This window comes from Homo sapiens, chromosome 6, assembly GCF_000001405.40.
Source record: "Homo sapiens chromosome 6, GRCh38.p14 Primary Assembly".
In the NCBI taxonomy this organism is placed as follows: domain Eukaryota; kingdom Metazoa; phylum Chordata; class Mammalia; order Primates; family Hominidae; genus Homo; species Homo sapiens.
Genome location: NC_000006.12, coordinates 32,347,739 through 32,365,160, shown reverse-complemented (window position 1 = coordinate 32,365,160; position 17,422 = coordinate 32,347,739). Strand labels below are relative to the sequence as shown.

The 17,422-nt window shown below is 35.3% G+C and overlaps 1 protein-coding gene, 1 long non-coding RNA gene and 1 pseudogene across 7 annotated transcripts in view, besides 1 other annotated feature; 1 reads left to right on the top strand and 2 right to left on the bottom strand.

The window, feature by feature from the left end:
• TSBP1-AS1 (TSBP1 and BTNL2 antisense RNA 1) overlaps positions 1-17,422 on the bottom strand; it is a 152,558-nt gene that overhangs the window by 42,570 nt on the left and 92,566 nt on the right. The window contains exon 2 of one of the 3 annotated variants that reach the window (NR_136246.1): positions 15,122-15,649. The exons of the other annotated variants lie outside the window; for them this stretch is intronic. This is a non-coding gene — a long non-coding RNA (TSBP1 and BTNL2 antisense RNA 1). Of the gene's footprint in view, positions 1-15,121; positions 15,650-17,422 lie in introns of those variants that run through there. 3 annotated transcript variants of the gene reach the window in all.
• The window catches only part of TSBP1 (testis expressed basic protein 1), a 79,206-nt gene that overhangs the window by 6,743 nt on the left and 55,041 nt on the right, over positions 1-17,422 (top strand). For 2 of the 4 annotated variants that reach the window (NM_001286475.2, NM_001286474.2), the window contains 3 exons: positions 9,492-9,512; positions 10,017-10,037; positions 15,401-15,421. In NM_001286475.2, the coding sequence (NP_001273404.1) occupies positions 9,492-9,512; positions 10,017-10,037; positions 15,401-15,421 (63 nt within the window). Of the gene's footprint in view, positions 1-9,491; positions 9,513-10,016; positions 10,038-15,331; positions 15,422-17,422 lie in introns of all 4 variants that reach the window. The other 2 variants (NM_006781.5, XM_024446307.2) reach the window with 1 other exon arrangement.
• Positions 9,903-10,103: a silencer, noted in NCBI's record as "peak5755 fragment used in MPRA reporter construct". NCBI's record gives its function as "represses an SCP1 promoter by STARR-seq MPRAs in K562 erythroleukemia cells {active_cell/tissue: K562}" and the evidence as "EXISTENCE:reporter gene assay evidence [ECO:0000049][PMID:32103011]".
• Positions 12,178-12,284, bottom strand: RNU6-603P (RNA, U6 small nuclear 603, pseudogene; annotated as a pseudogene).

Below are 17,422 nucleotides of genomic sequence, written 5' to 3'. Positions count from 1 at the left end.
CAGCACTTTGGGAGGCCGAGGCAGGAGGACTTCTTGAGACTAGGAGTTCGAGACTGGCCTGGGCAACATAGTGAGACTCCGTCTCTAAAAAAAAAAAAAATCAGTTGGATGTGGCGGTGCACACCTGCAGTCCCAGCTACTCAGGAGGCTGAGGTGGGAGGATTGCTTGAGCCCAAGAGTTTGATGCTGCAGTGAGCCACGATCATGCCACTGCTCCACTCTGGGTAGCAGAGTGAGATTTTCTCTCAAAAAAGGGAAAAAATCCCACCTGTGAAGTAGGCACAAACAAATATTGAACAGGGTGACTGTTTCTTCAAATGTGAAAACACAAGACAAGACTTCAAGGTCATAAAAATCAAGGAAACATGACACCACTAAAAGAACACAATAATATTTCAGTAACTAACCCCCAAAAATGAAGGTTTGCCTAAAAATCAATCCACCAGTTGCCTGACAAAAAAATCCAAAACAATTGTTATAAGAAAGCTCAGTGAGCTACAAGACAACACAAACAATATAATGACATCAGGAAAACAACACAAGAACAAAAGTAGAAGTTCAACAAAGAGAAAAAAAAACAAAACAGAGCCATACAAATTTTGGAGCTGAAGGGTGCAATGCCTAAACTAAAACAAAAAGGAAATAGAGAGCTTCCAAGATGATGGATCAAGTACAAGAAAGAATAAGAGAAGTCAAAGACCAATCATTTAAAATTATCTAGTCAGAGTACAAAAAAAAAAAAAAACCACAAAGAAAAGAAATGAAGAAATATGTACAAGATTTATGGGACACCATCAAGGGAGCTAACTTTTTGCATTATTGGAGTCTCAGAGGAAAAGAGAAATAAAATAGAATAAATGCTTATTTAAGGCATAATTGCTAAAAACTTTCCAAATCTGTGAAGAGATATAGACATCTCGATATATGAAACTCAAAACTCTCCAATTGTATTTAACCCAAAGAAGACTTCTCCAAGACATTATGTCAAATTGTCAATAATCAAAGTTAAAGAGAGAATCTTGAAAGAAGCATATCACATTTAAAGGTACATCAAAAGGATATTAGCACTTCTATGCAGACATTTTCTAGGCCAGTACATAGTGGGATGATATATTCAATTTGCTGAAAGAAAAAAACTGCCAACCAATAACTCTTTACCCGTAAAGCTGTTTTTCAGATCTGAGAAAGAGATAGTCTTTATCAGACAAACAAAAGCTGAGGGAGTTTATCACCAATAGATCTGCCTTACAAGAAATGCTAGAGAATGTTCTTCAAGCTGAAATGAAAGGCCAATAATTAGTAAAATGAAAACATATCCAAGTATAAAATTCACTGGTAAGGTAAATATACAGTCAATTCAGAATATTCTAATACTGTAATGATGGTATATAAATAACTTTTAATGCTAATATAAAAGTTAAAAGACAAAATATTAAAAGTATATAATTTGTTAATGAATATACAATTTTTTTAAATGTAAATTTTGACACTGAGAATGTAAAAAGTAGGGAGAATAATATGTAGAGTTTTTGTATGTAATCTATTTTAATAATCTAAGTTATTATTAGCTTCAAATAGACTGTTGAAACCATGTTTTATGTAAGCTTATGGTAACCACAAACCAAAAACCTATACTAGATACACAAAACAGAAAGATATTAAAGCATACCACTACAGAAAATCAGCAAATCACAAAGAAAGACAGGAAGAAAGGAAGAAAGGATATACAAAACAGCCAAAAAACAACCAAGAAAATAACTATATTAAGTCCTTAACTATCAATAATTACTTGAACGTAAATGGATTAAATTTTCTAATGAAAAGACACAGAGTAGCTAAATGTATTTAAAAACAAGTTGCAACTATCTATGCTGCCTGTAGCAGACACACTCCAGCTCTAAGGATACATATAGAATGAAAGTAAAGGGATGAAAAGAAGATGCTCCATGCAAATGGAAAACAAAAGACGGTAGGGGTGGCTATACTTACATCAGGCAAAATAGACTTTTAGTCAAAAATTATAACAAGAGACAAAGGAGCTCACTATATAATTATAAAGGGCTAATTCATCAAGAGGATATAAAAATTATAAGTACATATGCACATAATGTCAGAGCACCTAAATATATAATATTTACATAACTGAAGGGAGAAACAGCAATATAATAACCGTAGCGGACTTCAGTAACCCATTATTGACAATGAATAGAGCATCCACACAGAAAATTAACATGGGAGAAAATAAAGTTACCAAGAATACCCAATAGGGAAAGGATAAATGTTATTGGGAAAACCGGATATCCATATGCAAAAACAAAAAGAAATTGGCCCTTATCATATACCATACACAAAGATCAATTCAAAATGGATTGAAGACTTTAATGTAAGACTTGCCACTATAAAACTCCTATAATAAAACAGTGAAAAGTTCCATGACATTGGTCTTTGCAAGTTGTTTTAGATGACACCAAAAACACAGTAACAAAAGCAAAAATAAGTGGTATCTCGTCAAACAAAATTGTTTCTGGACAACAAAGGAAACAATCAACAAAATGAAAGCCAACTCACAGAATAGGAGAAAATATTTGCAAACCATATATCTGATAAGTGGTTAATATTTGTCTTAATCTGTTTCTGTTGCTTATAACAGAATATCTGAAACTGGGTAATTTATAAAGAAAAGAAATGTATTATTATTTCTTACAGTTATGGAGGATGGAAAGTCCAAGGCTGAGGGGGCGCATGTGGCGCAAGAGAGCCTTCTTGCTACTGGGGACTCTCTGCAGATTCCTGAAGTGGTACAGGGCATAACATGGCAAGGTGGCTAACATGCTGTGCTTAGGTCGTTCCTCTTCTTTTTTTTTTTTTTTTTGAGACGGAGTCTGGCTCTGTTGCCCAGGCTGGAGTGCAGTGGCGCGATCTCGGCTCACTGCAGGCTCTGCCTCCCGGGTTCACGCCATTCTCCTGCCTCAGCCTCCCGAGTTGCTGGGACTACAGGCGCCTGCCACTACGCCCGGCTAATTTTTGTATTTTTAGTAGAGACAGGGTTTCACCGTGTTAGCCAGGATGGTCTTGATCTCCTGACCTCGTGATCCGCCCACCTCGGCCTCCCAAAGTGCTGGGATTACAGGCTTGAGCCACCGCGCCCGGCCCGTTCCTCTTCTTATGAAGCCACCAGTTCCACTTGCCTGACAACTCATTAATCCATTAGTGGATTAATCCATTTATGTGGGTAGAACCCTCATGATATAATCACCTCTTTAAGGCCTCACTTCTCAATGCTGTCACATTGAGGATTAAGTTTCAACATGAGTTTCGGAGAGGACATTAAAACCACAGTAATATCCAAAATATATAAGGAACTCATACAACTCAAAAGCAAGATACAACTCAAAATACAGCTGAAACAAATAAGCTGATTTTAAAATGGACTAAGGTTCATATCTGTTCATGAACCTTAGTCCATGAACAGACAATTCTTAAAAGAAGACATTTACGCAGCCAACAGACATATGAAAAAATACTCATCATCACTGGCCATCAGAGAAATGCAAATCAAAACCACAGTGAGATACCATCTCACACCAGTTAGAATGGCAATCATTAAAAAGTCAGGAAACAGGTGCTGGAGAGGATATGGAGAAATAGGAATGTTTTTACAATGTTGGTGGGAGTGTAAACTAGTTCAACCATTGTGGAAGACAGTGTGGTGATTCCTCAAGGATCTAGAACTAGAAATACCATTTGACCCAGCCATCTCATTATTGGGTATATACCCAAAGGATTATAAATCATGCTACTATAAAGACACATGCACACGTGTGTTTATTGTGGCACTATTCACAATAGCAAAGACTTGGAACCAACCCAAAAGTCCATCAATGATACACCAGATTAAGAATATGTGGCACATATACACCATGGAATACTATGCAGCAATAAAAAATGATGAGTTCATGTCCTTTGTAGGGACATGGATGAAGCTGGAAACCATCATTCTCAGCAAACTATTGCAAGGACAGAAAACCAAACACTGCATGTTCTCACTCATAGGTGGGAACTGAACAATGAGAACACTTGGACACAGGGTGGGGAACATCACACACTGGGGCCTGTTGCGGGGTGGGGGAAGCAGGGAGGGATAGCATTAGGAGAAATACCTAATGTAAATGACGAGTTAATGGGTGCAGCACACCAACATGGCACATGTATATATATGTAACAAACCTGCACATTGTGCACATGTACCCTAGAACTTAAAGTATAATAAAAAAAAAGAGAGAGAGAAAAAAACAAAATAAAATAAAATAAAATGGACTAAGGACCTAAATAGACATTTTTTCAGAGAAGACTTACAGCCAACTAATAAATAAAGGTGCACAATATCACTAATCATCAAGGAAATGCACCTCACACCAGATAGGATGCATTCAAAATGTCAAGGGATAACAAGTGTTGGCAAGGATATGGAGAAAAGGGAACCCTTGTACACTGTTGTTAGGAATGTAAAGTAATACAGCCATTATGGAAAACAGTATTGTGGTTCCTCCAATAAATTAAAAATAGAACTACCATATGATTCAGGAATGCTACTTCTGGGCATATATTCAAAGGAAATAAAAATCATTATCCTGAAGAGATATTTGCACTCCCATATTCATTGCAGCATTATTTACAATACCCGGGATAGAGGAATAAACTAGGTGTCCATCAGTGGATGAATGGATAAAGAAAATGTGATACACAGACACACACACATACACACACACACACACACAATGAAATATTATACAGCCTTAGGAAAAGAAAGAAATCTTGCCATTTGTGACAACATGGATGAACCTGGAAGACCTTAGGCTAAGTATAATTAGCCACGCATAGAAAGACAAATACTACATGATCTCATGTATATATGGAACCTTAAAAAGTTGAACTCAGCAGAAAGGTGATTACCAGAAGTTAGGGGGTGGAAGAAATGGGCAGAAGTTGGCCAAAGGGTACAAACTTGCAGTTTTATGACAAATACGTTATGTAGACCCAATGTACAGCATGGTGACTATAATGTATTATACACTTGAAATTTACTAAGAGTGTAGGTTTTACATATTCTCATCACAAAATGAAAAATAGAAGTAAGTATTTGAAGTGGTAGATATGTTAATTAGCTTGATTGTGGCAATCATTTCACAATGTATACATATATTAGAATCGCACACTGTAATACCTTAAATATATATAATTTTTATAATTATACCTCAATAAAGCTAAAGAAAAGAAAAAAATAATCTGAGTAGTCAAGAGAAATTCAACATCCCAGATCTCACAAATGCTAACTACTCATTGAATTAATTCAAGATGGATTAAAGACTTAAATGTTAGACCTGAAACCATAAAAACCCTAGAAGAAAACCTAGGCAATACCATTCAGGACATAGGCATGGGCAAGGACTTCATGTCTAAAACACCAAAAGCAATGGCAACAAAAGCCAAAATGGACAAATGGGATCTAATTAAACTAAAGAGCTTCTGCACAGCAAAAGAAACTACCATCAGAGTGAACAGGCAAACTACAGAATGGGAGAAAATTTTTGCAATCTACTCATCTGACAAAGGGCTAATATCCAGAATCTACAAAGAACTCAAACAAATTCACAAGAAAAAAACAAACAACCCCATCAACAAGTGGGTGAAGGATATGAACAGAGACTTCTAAAAAGAAGACATTTATGCAGCCAAAAGACACATGAAAAAATGCTCATCATCACTGGCCATCAGAGAAATGCAAATCAAAACCACAATGAGATACCATCTCACACCAGTTAGAATGGCGATCATTAAAAAGTCAGGAAACAACAGGTGCTAGAGAGGATGTGGAGAAACAGGAACACTTTTACACTGTTGGTGGGGCTGTAAACTAGTTCAACCATTGTGGAAGTCAGTGTGGCTATTCCTCAGGGATCTAGAACTAGAAATACTATTTGACCCAGCCATCCCATTACTGGGTATATACCCAAAGAAGAATTGAACAATGAGAACACATGGACACAGGAAGGGGAACATCACACTCTGGGGACTGCTGTGGGGTGGGGGGAGGGGGGAGGGATAGCATTGGGAGATATACCTAATGCTAGATGACGAGTTAGTGGGTGCAGCGCACCAGCATGGCACATGTATACATATGTAACTAACCTGCACATTGTGCACATGTACCCTAAAACTTAAAGTATAATAATAATAATAATAATAATAAAACAAATCATGCTGCTATAAAGACACATGCACACGTATGTTTATTGCGGCACTATTCACAACAGCCAAGACTTGGAACCAACCCAAAAGTCCATCAATGATACACCGGATTAAGAAAATGTGGCACATATACACCATGGAATACTATGCAGCAATAAAAAAGGATGAGTTCGTGTCCTTTGTAGGAACATGGATGAAGCTGGAAACCATCATTCTCGGCAAACTATCGCAAGGACAAAAAATCAAACACCTCATGTTCTCACTCACAGGTGGGAATTGAACAATGAGAACACTTGGACACAGGAAGGGGAACATCACACACCGGGGCCTGTTGTGGGGTGAGGGGAGCGGGGAGGGATAGCATTAGGAGATATACCTAATGTAAATGACGAGTTAATGGGTGCAGCATACCAACATGGCACATGTATACATATGTAACAAAACTGCACGTTGTGCACATATACCCTAGAACTTAAAGTATAATAATAATAAAAAGAAATCAAGGAATAAATTCTTAAAAGTTCATCACATTAAGATATGACTTGTGCAATAAAATTCCAAGGGTGCAAAGAAATACTGCTGTTGTCTACTGTTGTCATTTACATCTCATATTTCTTGGGAAAAAACCTCTCCAGTAACAGTCCACCAGAATACCAGATTTAACCAGTGCAAGAAGCTACCTCAGTGTTAGGAATTTAAGGGTACACGGATAAGCAAAATAAAACTACACACTATAAGAAGGGAGGAGAATTAACATGTACTCAGCACCTACTATATGTTAGTCATTCTGGTGAGCATTTTTTCATTTTATTAATATTGAATATCTACAAACAACCCTGTCAACCACACAAAGGTGAGCTACCCAAAAATCCCTCCCTGGCTGTCCAAGGCCTCCAGTAGCCTACAGGTTGCTTTGGTGCATATTAGGAAAAGGTGTTCCTTCCTGCAAGTGAATGCAGCCCCACCCCAGAGACACTGCTGGGGATTTCAGTTCCCTTAACCCTTTGTGCAGTGAGCCAACCTATATAATCATAGCACACGTGTCCTGAAGATATATGAAAGGCATCTCACTCTTAGCATGTCTAAAACCCAAGCCCTAATCCCTTCTACACACTGGTGCTAGCACCTGTATTCACCTAATTGCTCAGACTATCTACCTTGGAATGATATTTAACTCCTTTCCTACTCTCTTCATCCAATCCACCATCAAATCCCATCTCTGATGCTTTCAAATTATACTCCAAATCAAACCACCTTCCACCACCATGACAATCCTTGCCCAAACACCAATATCTCTTGCCTCCTACCTTGTTTCCTTGATACTCCTCTTGCCTTCTTATAGTCTATTCACCTCACCACAGCGAGGGAGATCCTTAATAAGTACCTCTTAAATGAATAAAGTAATTTACTATTGTTATCCCTAATTTACAGAAGAGAAACTTATGCTTAAAAAACATTAATGACTTGCCCAAGGCCACAGGACTTGGAAGTGACAACCTGGATAGGAATTTAGAATTGTCTAATTCCAAATTTTAGGCAGTCAGAGAGTTTATTCTTATGTAATTTAGTAATATCTTAATTTTTAATTTCCTGTTTACAGATCTTTAGTGTACAAGCCTACAATCTTAGTATCTTTCTAATCTGGGCTCCCTTGCATTCTTAAGGAAAAACTTGAATCAGTAAACATTTTATTGTTGTTTCAATAAGTCATACTTTAAAATTCATAAACCCAAATGACTATTTCTCTGACTTTCCAGTCCCCCTAACATAACCTATAAATCTCAGTCATCCTAAGTTTCTAGGTTCCCACGCCCTGCTAGTCTTCCCTCCATTATTTCTAGACATAGGAATATAAATGTACTGGTCAACTTGAGACTATAGAAATCTTCTGGCAGGAAGATATTAATATTAGGTAAGGTCATTATGTTAGTTTAGGTACATGAAATTTAGTACTCAAAGTTTAGTTTAACTTAAATATATCACATATAAAAGCTGCCATGGTTATTCCAAAATTTTTTTGAAATTAAATTTATTCTTAGTATTTTTCTAGCAAATGTTAAGTGCAGCGCATGAAAGTTTTTATAACAAATTTCAAGTGCAGCATATTAAAATGTTCGGCATTTCAGTGGTATTTTCCATTTTTGTGGCAACTCTATTAACATCTTGATATATTTTCCCTTTTTTTTTTCATTGAGACAGAGTCTTGCTCTGTGGGCCAGGCTGGAGTGCAGTGGCACTATCTCGGCTTACTGCAATCTCCGTCTCCCGGGCACAGGCAATTCTCCTGCCTCAGCCTCCTGAGTAGCTGGGATTACAGGCGTGTACCACCAGGCCCAGAGAATTTTTGTATTTTCACTAGAGACAGGGTTTCACCATGTTGGCCAGGCTGGTCTCGAACTCCTGACCTCAGGTAACACACCCACTTCGGCCTCCCAAAGTGCTGGGACTACAGGCTTGAGACACCGTTTTTAAAATCCCCATAGAACCATGAGAAACAAGAAACATTATTATAAAACAGAGAATGTGTTTTGTACTTAATTCCCATCACAATGACTGCCAAGTATGGAAGGAGAGCACTCATTTTCAGAAAAGAAGCTGAAAAAAAAATACTATTGTCTTCACATTTCTGAGTATATCTTTAACTATACTTTAGTGAAATAGCAAATGATATTATGATTCAACATAATTTAAATCAACTACAAAGTATCAATATTACTATTTACTTTTACACTTTTATGAAAACAACAGTGATAACATGACTAGTTTTCCATGTAATTTGCTTTGTCTCCAGATCTTTTAGAAAGTCTGTTTCCATGACATCACTAAGAAACAAGTTTTAGATCATAGGATGCACATTCAATCGCAATCAATATACACATTTGCATTCATTATAATTTGCCATATTGTCACTGAACTTGAATTCTCAGTCAGCTGAGTAAATATCTTGCCATTCCTTCTTTTATTTGACCTCAACTTACCTTATAACTATACATTCTTCTGTTTCAATGTTTGCATGTATAGTTTATTATTTCTTCTCACTACATGTATTTACCTTAATTAAACTCTGCCTGTTTTTTTAATGTCATTAAACTTATAAATTAAGCCATGAGGAGATTTTGTCTCCAGTTTCTTGCCTAACTGGATATTTGAGGGTGTTGATTGGGTAATCCTCTGTAGTGATACCAAAACTACAGAAATAGAATATCCAAATTGATTTTTCTTTCTTTTGTTTATGTTTTCAGAGAGATCCAAAAGAGATTACAGTAAGTATTATCTTGCTTCTTAACAAAAATTTGCTTCCTATTAGTAACATTTCCCTAGATTGTAAATGCTTTGGAGGAAAGAGAAATCCTGTCATATGTCAAGTCATATGAATACTAAGCAATAGATAAAGTTTTCTAGTGCTGGTTTAGAATGATCTGGCTGGGAGAAAAGGAAAACAATAGAAGTGATGAGCAAGAGAAAAGGAAAGTAATAAAGATAAAAGGGAGAGAGAGAAGAAAATAGAGAGGGAAAAAAGGGAGGGAGGAATTAGGGCAGTAGGAATGGCATCTGCCTACTAAAAATTAAACCCATTTTTAGAGATGGAAAGCATATGCAGTAGCTGGTGGGAGTGGCTGTCAGTACCCATCACCAGATCAGTGATGACTCCCGGGGCCTAGACTTTAACTCCTGAGAAGGGGGTGACAGCAACTGAAGCTGATATGTAAAGATTAGGGATCCAAACTCTCATGATTCACCTCATGTTTTCTGTGTGTGTATTTTAGCACCATCAACCAACTCTCTAGGTAAGTGCTTTGTGGTTTTCTTTCAATTCTACTGTCATCTGGTTTGCAAGCCCTATTTTTTCTGTATTTTTTCTCTTTTAAGAAAGTTTTTAAAATTAAGTATAAAAATAATTAACACTTGTATATCACACCTTAGATGTGACAAATTGATAATATTCTTGTCATATTTCTCAAGTTATCATAGACATATTCCACTCCCTTCTTCCCAAAGGCTTATTAATATATTTTAAATATTTAAGTCTATTTACATATATTTATAGTCTCTACCTATCACTGAACAAAATATAGTATCTTTTTTTAATGTTTAATTTTACTAAAATGGCATCTGTCTGATAGTATCATTACGATTTGCATTTTTCTCTCAAAATGTAGTTTTGAAATCCAGGTTATACACTTTGTTGAATAATATTCCACCTTATGAATATACAATGTTTTTCTATTATTTCTACTACCGATGCATTCTCAATATTTCCAATTTCTGCTATCACAAATAATGCTGCAAAGACAGTCCTTAAGTAGATGGAAAAGAGTTTATCCGGGGTACATACCCTGAAGTAGGATTAGTGTTCACATTGTATATGAGCATTTATGTAATTTATGCATATTTTAAATTTTAGTAGCTATTAATTAAGCTCCTTGGTAGTTACATAGAGGCATACAAAAATAAATAAATATTTCCAATTTCTCTGCATTAGTAACAATCCCAGATTTTGTCATATTTTTCTATTATTGCCACTTGAATACGTATACAATTTTTAAAATCTGCATTCCCTGCTCACTCCTGAAATTGAGTATCTTCTCATAGGCTTACTAGCTAGTGAGGCTTCACCCTATATAAATTGCTTGTTCATTTACTTTACCCATTTATCTATTAGTTATTGATCTGTAGTAATTCTTTATTATTATGAAAGATCAACTTTTATATGTTATGTTAAATATCTGCAATTATCTCATCCAATTCTGTCTCTTAGCTTTAAATTTTTATGCTGTCTCTTGACTTTTAGAAGGCCTCTACTCACTCTCCCCCAACACCACACAATTTATTGTAATAAAATTTGTCAATCTCTTGTTTTCTTTTAGAGTTTCTGCTTTTTAGTTTCTTTGGCCTTATCTGGGTATCACAAAGATTTTATCTAATACTTTCTCTTAATAGTTTTGAAATTTCCCTTTCTACATATAGAACTTTAATCCAAATGGGGCTTTGTTAATTGTTTTTTGGTTTTGGTGAGTGATTTTAGTAATAATACAGGTGAGATCTAATTTTCCTTTCATCTGGAAAACCAACTAGAGGGATTTCGTCTCATCTTGTTCCAACTAGATTTATTGACTGGTGCATTCTTTCTCTGCTGATTTGTAATGCCATCTTCATCTTATATATTTCGTTTTTCCGTGGATTTTATTTTCTGTTCCAGTGATCTTTTGTCTTTTACTGAACCAATACTCCATTGCTTTCACTACTAAAACTTTATAACATTTATTACAAAAAATAGCACATTATCTTTGTTCTTTTTCAGAAATGTGTTGGCTATTCTTTGACCTTTTCTCTTACACAAGAATTTCATAATTTCTCAAAATCTATGAGTCATATTAGGATTTCATTGAAATTTCATTGAGCCTGTAGATTAATTGGTAAAATCAATTATTCCCATGCATTAACATGGTTGCCTACTATTCAAATTTTCTCATATACCCTTCAATAATGTAATATAATTTTCTTCAGAAAGGTCTTGCATGTCTTTTGCTGCATTAATTCTTATACACATACTTGTTTTTTGTTTCGGATGTGAATACTATCTCTCTACATGGATTTTACAAATAATTATTGTTGGAATATAAGTTATATGTTGTATATTTGAGAGTAGATTTTGTATCTAGCCACCCTGCTGTGCTCTTAGAGTTCTAATAATTTTCAGATTCTTTTGAATTCTATATGTAAAAAATCATGTCATCTGCAAAATCTGATAATCTTGAGTTTCCTTTTCCAATTCTTAAAACCATTTTCTTGTCATAGCTTGGGCTATGTATATCTATGGGTAAAATTCCTTCTCTTTACTTTTGCTTTATTTTTGTTCCTTTTTCTAGCTTGCTGTATGAAACTCTTAATCAATTTCCAGACTTTCTCATCTTCTTTTTTTATTTTATTTTTATATGGGACACCATGAATTTTCATGCCATCCTTACACACGGGCCACGCTAATCTTCTCTGTATCATTCCAATTTTAGTATATATGCTGCCAAAGTGGGCGCTCTTATTTTCTAATATAAGTATCTAAGTAACTTCTAAATGCTGCTGAAACTCATATCCTCATATCCACTCATATCCTCATGACTATTTTTTTACTTCAATTCTACACTCTGATATTAGCATTGTTCTAACACCTTTGTTTTAATTAGTATTTGCCTATTTTTCATCCTTTTATTTTGAACCTTAAAAGTTTGTTTTTGTCTTGTGTCTTTTTTAAATGGCATATTGCTTGACTTTGTTCATATTAACAATGTAAAATTTTCTGTTTCCTAATAGATGAATTTAGTTCATTTTATATTGTGAATTGTTATATGTTTATCTAAATGTTTCCAATTTATATTGTGTTTTCAACTTACAGTACTATGCTCTGTTCTTTCATTTTTAAATCTTCTTTTCTACCTTCTGCTGGTATATTAGAATTCCTTGTTTCTTTTGTTTTACTTAGTGTTTTTCTGGATTTTGTTTTATGTATCCTGATATTTGTAACATGTGTACTATTTAACTTTTCTTTAAAAATTAAAGATAATCGGTATCTTCTTCCAAGACTAGATAATAACTTTTATTTGACCATCTTCCCTCCAAACTACTCTTTCCAAATTCTCCATCTTGTTTGTGGTATTCTTTTTAAAGACAAAATAATTATTTATTTTCACAATTAATTATTACTTAGACTTACAACAATATTTCAGCATTGTTTTTGCTTAACATTATTTGCTACATCCTGTGTCTTTTCTCTTCTATTTCTTGCCCAAATACAATCCTTTACTGGTTCTTTAAACTCTACATGTATGTGAAAAATTTTCTAAGCCTTCATATGGCTGAAAATAGCTTTACTTCACCTTCAGCCTTAAATGAAAATTTAGCTAGGTATAGAATTGAACATTATTTTCCCTCTGTACTTTGAAGATTTATTCCATTTGCTTGTTGTTTATTATTTATTATTGTTGATAAGAATCTATCACTAGTTTGATGTTTGTTCCTAAGTAAATATATTTTCAAGATTCTCTTTATTTTTGTGCTCTGCATTTAATTATAATGTTTATAGGTGTGAGATTAACTTTTTATGAGTGTGAGGTTATCCTGAGCAGGATAAATGAAGTGAATCTCACACCCACAATGGAAAATCCTGAATGCTTCCATTTACTCTGAGCAGGATAAATGAAGTTAATCTCACACTCATAAACATTCAAGAGTTTCCATTCTGTGGACTCAATCTTTCTAATTACAGAAAAATTTAACTTTAATTGCTATGAATTTTGCCCATATTTGTATCTATATCTAACAACAAACTGTAGTCTCTACTTCTAAAATTACTATGTATGTAAAGATTTTCCTTCCATCTTTCAGATCTTGTGACTTCTCTTTTATATTTCTTATCTGCACTGATTAAGTTAGCCCCGGATCTTAAAATCTCAGTGGTTTTCCCTAATAGAATTTTATTTCTTACTTATGAGAAGTCCAAAACAGGAATTCCAGATTGGCGGATGGCCCTTCTCTCAGCAGTGTCTTAGGCACTCAAATTCATCTTAACTAATGACTCCACCATCTTCAAATAATGGCTCCTAAGTTCATCATGTTAGTCCACCTTAAGTGAACAGAAAGAAAAAAGCTTGAAGATCATGAGTGGATGACTTTACAAACAAGCCTGGATGACTTTCATATCACTTCTAACAACATTAGATTGGCTAGAACTCAAGCATATAGCCACACCTAACTACAAGGGAATTTTGGGGAAATAGTCAACCACGTTGTATTAGTTTTCTATAGCTGCTCTAACAAATTACCACAAACTTAATGGCTTAAAACAACACAAATTTATTATCTATCAGTTCCATAGGTTATAAATCTGTCATATATGTCTCCCTGGACAACAATCAGGTTGTCAGCAAGACTGCATTCTTTCTGGAGGTTCTAGGAACAAATCTGTTTCCTTGCTTTTTCAGCTTCTAGAGGCTGGCCACATTCCTTGGTTCATGGCTCCCTTCTTCTATCTTCAAAGTGAACAAAAATGAATCAAGTCCTCACATCACACCATTCTGCCCTTCCTCCACTGTAGTACCTCTTTCTCTTACTCTCTTTTATCTCCCTCTCCCACTCTTAAAAATCTTTGTGATTATATTAGGCCCACTCAGATATACCAAAATCATCATCCTATTTTAAGGTCAGCTGATTAGCAACTTTAACTTCATCTGCAATATTAATTCCCTTTTTCCATGTAACCTAACATATTAAACAGGAAGATAATCCCAGGTTCTTACAATGCATGAGGCCTATGGCCTTGATTTCTGCTGGTGATCAGGTGTTTAAGCCTCAGTCCCCCAATAAGGTATCACATGGGTGGTAAAACTTCTCATTCATTACCAAGAATATGGGTTCCTTCTTGATATATTTTTCTTGAATATATTACTTCTCTTTTTAGTTTTCAAGCTCAGCTCTACTTTATAAACTTTAAAAAATACCATGTTCAAAGTAATCACTTAAAGGAGAGGATGAAATATTCCCCTCAATAGCAAGCACCCTTTCAGTAAGCCCCGAGGTTCTAAATACTTTCACTACTTTGACTCTTTAGCTTCTAATATTATTCAAGAACTTCCTGATTTGGTCTCTTGCTATTCTTCATCTCCATAGGGCACAAGTGAATTTTGGAAAGTGGAAACCCCTGTTGAAGCAGTTAGGTGGTAATTGTTTGGTGTAACAAAAAATCTTTTCGAACAAAGGGAAAACAGAAAGAAAATTAAGGAGAGAGAGGAAGAGGTGGAGGAAAGGTAGAGAAGGAAAGAACAGAGCAGCAGAATCACCAATGAAAGAAGACTTATAGGGACAGAAAAATGTCCTCAGATTGAGAAACTAGCAATCTCCAAAAATATTTTTATTCTCTTACCAAAATTGAAAGACAGGTTGCATAGATCTTGTAGTCCCACCTTACCACAAAAGTATTGGAATCCATATGTAGATATCCAGCTGCTCACCACATTGCATTGCAATTGATACCAGGAAATAAGTTGTGACTCATTTCTATCCTCTTTTCCACAACCTTTCTGCAATATAGTGTCTATGGCATCTAAGTTCTCCCTGGGACAAACAGAACTCATTCTTCTTTTGATGTGTTTTATTTTAGCACTGTCTCGATCAAGTATTGGTAAGTTCCTTTACTTTTCTTCAATTCTGCTGACATTTAGCCCCATTTAATCAAGAGGATATCTTCCTAAACTTCCCAGACTTCTTCGCTGCAGCACAGCAGAAGCTTAAGCTTCACATTTCTCCAATTTCTTTGTTCTCCATAACCAGACACTTCAATAATCAGTCAAAAGTAAATGCAAGTTTCTAGTGGTTTATTATGATGACATGAAGAGAGCAATTTCCAAACCTGAAGTGTTGGAAAAACAGAGTAAATAAAGGATAAGAGCAAAAAGTTAGTAAGAAAAATAAGATGAGGATGAAGATAATATAGAATGAGGGATAAATGATATTAGCTGTGTCCTCAGAATTTTAAAGCTTTACATGGCTAGCACGAAAGGGCAGCCTTCCCTGAGGCATCCCCAAGTCAGGCTGGCAGCAATGGAAGAGATGGCTAATTCCCTATCCCCCTGAGCTGCAACTGACACTAAGGGTTTGGTGCTCCCAGGCGTTCCTGGTTCTGATACTCATTCCTGCCCTGTCCCCTGCAAAAAAAAAAAAAAAAAGAAAGAAATGGATAGTTTTTGAGCCAGACAACCACATGAATTTTTTGTTTATATTTACTTTTAGGAGAGCAAGGAGGGAAATTTCATATTTCCAAATTCTAAGTCTCTTTAGTGTGTCACAGAACTAAGGAACATTCCCTAACCCTGCTGAGATTTTGTCCCTCACCTCCTTTTCCTTCCCCATCATTGAGCATTTTGTCTAAAATTAATGAGAACTTCGAAGAATGAGAAGTCCACCGATTAAAGAATAAAGAGAGGATTAAAATGGTTTTAGCTGGCAATCATAGTTTCAGCAAAACAGTAATAAATTCATTAACTTAGGAATAGGAGGGAAGAAGAGAGAGGCTTGTGAAGAGATCAGGGAATGGGAGTAGGGGACAAGGAGAGGTTTGTAATTAAAGCAAGTCATCTTTCTTGACTATTTACAGATATTACACATGAGGAAAAAATGAAATTTAAAGATATTATTTAACTTGACCCAAGGCATATAGCTAGCAAAAGAGTAAAACTGAGGTTCTAAACACTGGCCTTTGGACTCCAAGTCCTGAGGTTGTCCAACTACCCCCAGGACATCATTAAATGTGTTTACTCTTCCAATCCAAAGTATTCTTTGGAAATAAAATGTTTGTTCCAAGGAATTTAGAAAATCATGCATATGTTAAAAATATATTACTTCAATTTTTAAAATGTAATTTGAAAATCTTAAAATGTAAATTAATATAAAATATCAGACTTAGTGTGCTAATCCAATACTGTGCCATAACCTTATCCCATGAATAAGGCTGTTTTGTTGTATATACAACTGTGAACAGGTGCCCTTAGAAAGCTATCAAGCTCAATATTTTATTACTTTTATAATTAAAACATGTTTTATCTAGTTTTACTTTGTTTGCATCTAACTTATGGAAAGGGTAAAATATTTGGGAGTTGAAACATGCTAAACAATAAACTCAAATATTCAGTTTCTTCAGCAAAATCTGCAGAGGACCCATGTGAGGCAGGCTTGCCATAAAAACCCTCCAAAGGGGAAATCATTTAGAGCACTGCAGCTGCTATACCTAAGACAACATAAGTATTTCACAGACAGCATAGATTCTAGTGAGGTAAGACAGAAAATAAACACATAAGCAAACAAATACAATGATTTCCCTTTCTAGATAATTCCTACTATGATTACTAGACTATCATAGTAAATTCTACGGAGAAAACAAATTAAGATAATATGATAGAGCAAGACCAAGAAGTAAGGGCCTTTAGCTAGGAGATTAGAAGAAATTTCCCTGAGGAGATATCTGAACTGACTCTGAATGGCGAAAAGCTGGCAGCCACAGGAGGATCTTAGGGAAGAGTATCTCAGGCAGAAAGAACACCAAGTTCCTGAGAGGGGAAGAAGAGTAGCATGTATGAGAGATTGCAGGAAGGCCAGTTGTGAAAGATCGTGGAGGAGTTTGAAAGGT